We start from the raw sequence: 6175 nt of genomic DNA, 5'->3' as shown, positions 1-6175 counted from the left end.
AGACCAATAAGAAACCATGACATCAAAGCGGTAATAAAAAGTCTCCCTGCGAAGAAAAGCCTGGGACCTGGTGCTTCACTGCTGAATTCTACCAAACATTTAAAGAAGAACTCATACCAACCTTACCCAAACTATTCCAAAACTAGAGGCCTTACCCAACTATTCCAAACTCATTCTACAAGGCTAGTATTACCCTGATACCAAAACCAAAGATACATCCAAAACAGAGAACTACAGGCCAATATCACTGATGAATATTGATGCAAAAATCCTCCACAAAATATTAGCAGATTGAATTCATCAACACATTAAAGTTGGGGTGCAGTGTCCCAGCTTCACTCAACCCTTCCCCTTTTCCTGTGTGTGTCTACTTTGGCTGTGCTCCCAGGTGGCAGCGGTGGCGGCAATGTTGGTGTGTGGGCCTCCCAGGACAAGGGGAAAGTGAGTATGCCCTTCCCACCTCCTGCCAGGTGTCTGTAGCATGGCACCACCTCTGGCCATGTCTTCAAGTGAGGGACCTGGAGATGTTCTTTTCCAATTTCTGGATTGGGAAATGGAGGCAAATTCTGGGTACTAGAGTCAGAACTAAGACGAGGCTGAATCGGGAGAGTCTGGGGTCCTGAGAGGCAGAGACCTGAAACCCTCTAGATTGTGTGGGGAGCTGGGTGTGTGTTCTGGCCAGTTGTTTCTCCCTGTGCCTCAATGTTCCAGGTACCCTTGGAGGGGGCTGAGATCCTGGGGATGCCTGGAGCCTGGCTGCATGGCCTGGCCGCCCTGATGCCTTCGTGCTCTCCACAGCAGGCCAGCAAGGCCGAGGAGAATGGTTCCAACAGCTTCATGCACTCCATGGTCCCACAGCTGGAGTGGCAGATGGAGACCACCCAGAGCCTGGTGGACTCCTATGTGGCCATTGTCAACAAGACCGTGTGGGACCTCATGGTTGGTCTCACACCCAAGACCATCATGCACCTCATGATCAACAACGTGCGTGCACCGCCTCATGGGGGCAGGGGGCTCCTGTGGCACTGGGGACACAGGTGGCCATGTTGTCCTGCCAGAGATGACAACCAGCCCTATGGGACCAGGTCCAGGGAGAGGGGCACGGTCCAGACCAGAGCTGTCCCATAGAATTATAACGTGGGACTGGGCACAGTGGCCCATGCCTGTAATCCCAGCACTTTGGGAGGCCAAGGCAGAAGGATCGCTTGAGCCCAGGAGTTTGAGACCAGCCTGGGTAACATAGTGAGACCTGGTCTCTACAAAAAAATTTTAAAAATAGCTGGGCCTGGTGGTGGCACTTGCCTGTAGTCCTAGCTACTCAACAGGCTAACCTTGGAGGATCACTTTGAGCCAAGGAGGTTGAGGCTGCAGTGAGCCATGATCTTGCCCACTATACTCCAGCCTGGCAATAGAGAGAGATCCTATCTCCAAAAATTAAAAACTGAGTAGACAGGTGTCCTGGTGGCATGATAGATCCTGGGTCCCCTCCCAGATCTGTGACCTTGGGCAGGTGACTTTTCCTCTGGACCTCAGTGTCCCCATCTGAGTGAGAAAAAGCGGTGGGGAGGTGGGTCTTCGAGTCTAAGCAGTGTAGAAGCCGCATCTGAAAAGCCATACCCGGGGCTCCAAGTCCAGCGTACAGCCCCAGCAGGGCCTGGCAGGGTGGCCAGGGTGGCACAGGCATCAGGTCCCAACCTCCTTCCCTCTTTGCCCACTCTCAGAACAAGGAGTTTATCTTCTCGGAGCTGCTGGCCAACCTGTACTTGCATGGGGACAAGAACATGCTGATGGAGGAGTCGGCAGAGCAGGCACAGCGGTCATGAACACAATCAGCACGCCCACGGGGGCCCATGGACAACTCCTGACTGCAGGTGCAGAGCATCCTACTGGATGCAGGTACCAGGGCTGGCCCCCACGGCCCCAAAGCCCCCCAGCCTCCATGGCTAAGACTGTGGGCTCTTGGAACAGCCTCCATGCCCAAGTTGGCAGATGTGGGTGCTCTCTAGAGTCCTCGGAGAGGGCAGAGAACTCATGGTTTATGGTGTAGGGGCTGGGAATGTGGAGGGCGTTGTGTGTGGGGCTGGACTCTGAGGCGGCCAGAGGCCTAGGAATGTCACCTGGGCACAACATAACTGTCGTGCAGTCTGAGTCATGCTGCCAGGGCAGGGTATCCAGTTCCCAGTCTGGGAGTGCCGAGAGCCAAATCCACTGCAGAGCAGGGTTGATAGTCAGGGTCCCACCTCCTCTATATGTTGGCAATCCAGTGGTGATCTAGGATAAAATCTTGAGAGTCCCATACACATGGTCATCCCACAACACACCTCACAGGCCAGGCAGGAACACACAGCCCCCTTCCCTCCCTCCCAGATACCATCATACCTGCTAGCGTGTGACTGAAGGCAGGGTCCCTGGCCCCTGCTGAAACACTACCGCCAGCCAGCGGGCTCATGCACCTTGGCCTGTTGCTCCTAGGGGTCACCTGTGCTATTCAGCCAAGGGGACCACAGTCCCTGCTGGCCCAGCTGAGCTCCACATAGCCAGCCCACCCACCTCCCCTGCCACAGACTCTCCCTCTTCTGCTTTTCCCAGCAGGAGGGGCCCAGGCTCACCTATGCAACCTGCAGGCCCCCACAACCAGCTGAGGCTCCCCCCTTAGACTTATAAGTCTATGGCCAGTGGCATATGCCCTTCCTGCCTCCCCCAGGGTCCTTTCAGAGGGTCCTGGGCTTTCTGATGACCCAGAGGGGCCTCTGGCGCTCACTCAGTCCAGCCATCCCTTTTAGCTTCACCATCCTGGGTCAAGCAGTGTTCCTTCTCTATCAGGCCTGGTGGCTGTTGGGTGGGGCTCCCCAAGGCGAGAGGTGGCCCTGGGCCAGTGGGTTGGAAGGGGAGGGTGACCAGAGAAGAGGGAAGCCCGAGGGGGCTGAGCATTGGTCTGAACTGTGGGTGCACTGCCTGGGTGCCGTGGGAGAGGCCAGTGTGTGTGGGCTGGGGAGGGCTGCCACAGCCCCCAGGCACTACCTGTGAAGCTCCGGCTCCTCCCTCCATCTTCCTCCCCTTTTCCTTCCAGCCCCTCTTTTCCAGGAACCTTGCCACACCTGCACCTGTGTCCTCCCCTCCCCGGCCCTCCCACAGCTGCTGCAGCACGCCTGTGCTCTGTGCTTGCCTCACCAGCTCTCTGCTCACATTTCTCTCTCCCATTTTCTCTCTGCTTTCTCTCCAACTGCCAGCTGATCAGGTCAGGCAAGTCCATCCCGTCCTGAGAGCCCCAGCCCCACTCTGACCTCTAAACAGATCCTCCTCTTCTCGGAGGCCTCCCTTTCCAAGCCTGCCTGGGCGGGTGTCCTGTGACTGGACAGTGGCTCCCCAGCCCCAAAGCCAGCCCCCTTCATCTGTGACTTAGTCTGTCATAGTGGTGAGCTGATCCAGGTGTGACCGTTGCTGAAAACTTGTGCCCCCTCTGTGGTATGCCCCTGCCCTGTTCTATAAATATCTATAAATACTCTCTCTCTCTCTCTCTCTCTCTATATATATATCTAGTTATATATACGTATATATATATATACACCTACACATGGCTGACCGCCTCGCCTCTAGCACTGGGAATCTGTCACCGTGCTGTCCTTGTGGAGTCTTGTGGCCCAACAAGAGGAAGGTCTCCCCTGACACTGCCCCTCCAAAGTGTGCCACCTCCAGTGAGCCTCCCTGTCATGTCCGGCCTGTGGACAGCCAGCCCCCGCCATCCCTCCCACCCCCCACCAAGAATGGGGGTGCTGTGCAGGCAGCTGTGTGGCCTGACAGTCTCTACCAGTCCTGCTGTCCCTCGGCTGAGAATCAAACCCATTTCTGGATGATGGGGAATGTGTCCTCTACTGGCTGTGTTCTCTGTGGAGCGCAGGGGAGGGAAAAGGCCAAGCCATTTCTAGGGTGCTGTTGGGAGGAGTGAAAAGGCCACACACCCTTTCCAAGGGACACTTTTCCTGGAAAGCCCCTGGAGCTTAGCTGGCTTTTATCCTGCGAAGCCGGCTCTGGCCACTAGGGGGCAGGGCCATGAACTCAGACTGGAGGAGCCTGCGGGGCAGCCAGCACTAACAGGCCACCAGGTACACTGGAGGGACAGACAGAACAGGCCACCGGGTGCAGACAGGCGAGGGAGGCAGGGGGATGGAACGGAAGATGCCTGGGGTGGAAGTCAGTGCCCTTGGGTGCTGGTATTTGTCTTCCCGGCCACTGCTACATCAGGCTTCTGAGGCTGTTGGCTGTCAGGGCGGGACTGTGCCCTATAGGCGCCATGGCAGTCCCTGTGAAATCCACCAGGTGTCACCAGGCAGCATACAGGTAACAGGCCTGGAAGGTCCCCAAGAGCCCAGCTGGACATGCTCAGTCACTCTAGGGCTCCTCGTTCAGTGGCACAAACTCCAGGACCCAGTGAGGGACACGGGAATCCACCAGGCTGAGCAGTATGGCTAAATCCATTTACTCCAAAATGAAAAGCAAAATAAACGGGAGTCACATCACCAGGGAGCCACAACCCCATCCCCGCCTCCTTCCTCTGTCCTATGCTATCAATAAATAAGTTTCCCAGCCACAAATAATGATTAGAACCTCCTCCTCATATGCCAGCTCCAACCTCCTCTAGGTACAATACAGGGGGTGGCCCTACCCCCTGGAATATACAAAATGTCACACAGATACTATATGTACACTGCGGAAGGGGGTCCACCCCAGCAGCCTGTGCCCTCGCCTGCTCTACAGTTAGCCCCACTGTCCCGCCTCAGCTGCCTCTCTGAATAAGAAGATGGGAGCCCCCTGAGGGAAAAGTTGCTTCGGTGAGAGTAGGGAGGCCATGAGGCCTCCTCCAAACAAACCAGCTCTACCAGCCTCTGGCTCTTAAATAGTAATCATCATCATCCAGAAATTTAAGGACTCAGCCCTGGTCAAGGTGGCAAAGGGTCTGTTTTTCTCCCCCCATTAGACAGGGGTCTTGTCTTGCTACCCTAATGGTAAAGGGGTGACTGGGAGGGGGTGGTAGGAGCATGGTAGGGACAGAGACTCCAGCCCCACTTCTCCAGGCTTATGCTGACAGGGGCCTGCTTTTATTTATTTTTATCCCATGACTTATTTTTTAATCCCATAATTTCTTTTTCATAATACTTTAAGCTTTTTTTTTTTTTTGAGATGGAGTCTTGCTCAGTCACCCTGGCTGGAGTGCAGTGGTGCGATCTTGGCTCACTGCAAGCTCCACCTCCCAGGTTCACGCCATTCTCTTGCCTCAGCCTCCCGAGTAGCTGGGACTACAGGCGCCCGCCACCACGCCCAGCTAATTTTTTTTTTTTGTATTTTTAGTAGAGAGGGGGTTTCAGCATGTTAGCCAGGATGGTCTCGATCTCCTGACCTCGTGATCCACCCGCCTCGGCCTCCCAAAGTGCTGGGATTACAGGCATGAGCCAGCGAGCCCGGCCCTTTTTTTAAGCTTTTCATAAAACTTTTACGTTTTTTCCACAACTTTTTTTTGCCACAACTTTTCCATAACATTTTTTATCCTGTAACTTTTTCATCCCACAACCTTTTTTATCCCATAACTTTGGGTTTGTGTTCTTCAAATAAACACACTTCATGGTTACATTACAATTTTATAAAAATAAAAACCGATTATCTCATGCCAAGCGTGCCCAGCATTTGCACAGTCTCAATACCTTTAACACCACAGTTTTCAAGACACACAAAATTTTAAGGCAAAAACAGCACTTTGCAACAATTTAATAATTTATTACATTACAGTAGCATCACAGTAGCAGTGAATAATGCCACTTTAGGCAACAGTGTTTCAGTATTTCCATTATACATTCTGTTTACAAGAATTCATAAATTGGTAAAAGTCATTCTAAGAAAACTTGGCAAATAAAGCTTTGCATTGGAATTGGCATTTCTTTCTCTACTTTTCCTTCCCCCAGTTTCTTTCTTTTAAACTACAGTATTCATATTTCAAAATGTCTTAACTTATTTTAAAACTTAAGATAGCAGTTACATTTTTGAATAGTTATATTCTTTTAAAATGACTCTTTAAGATAAAGTTTTAGAGAAACTATTATGGATAGGGCTGATTTACATTTTCACATTTTCTAAATATCAGCTTTGGTTTTAGAACTGACTTTTTTTCATTTCTGGAAAACCT

At 52.5% G+C, this 6175-nt stretch overlaps 1 pseudogene; it reads left to right on the top strand.

Moving 5' to 3' along the window:
* Positions 797-3861, top strand: DNM1P34 (dynamin 1 pseudogene 34; annotated as a pseudogene).

The sequence above is a fragment of the Homo sapiens genome, chromosome 15 (assembly GCF_000001405.40).
Source record: "Homo sapiens chromosome 15, GRCh38.p14 Primary Assembly".
In the NCBI taxonomy this organism is placed as follows: Eukaryota; Metazoa; Chordata; class Mammalia; order Primates; family Hominidae; genus Homo; species Homo sapiens.
Note: the sequence above shows the minus strand (reverse complement) of the source record. Positions and strands in the feature narration are given on the sequence as shown.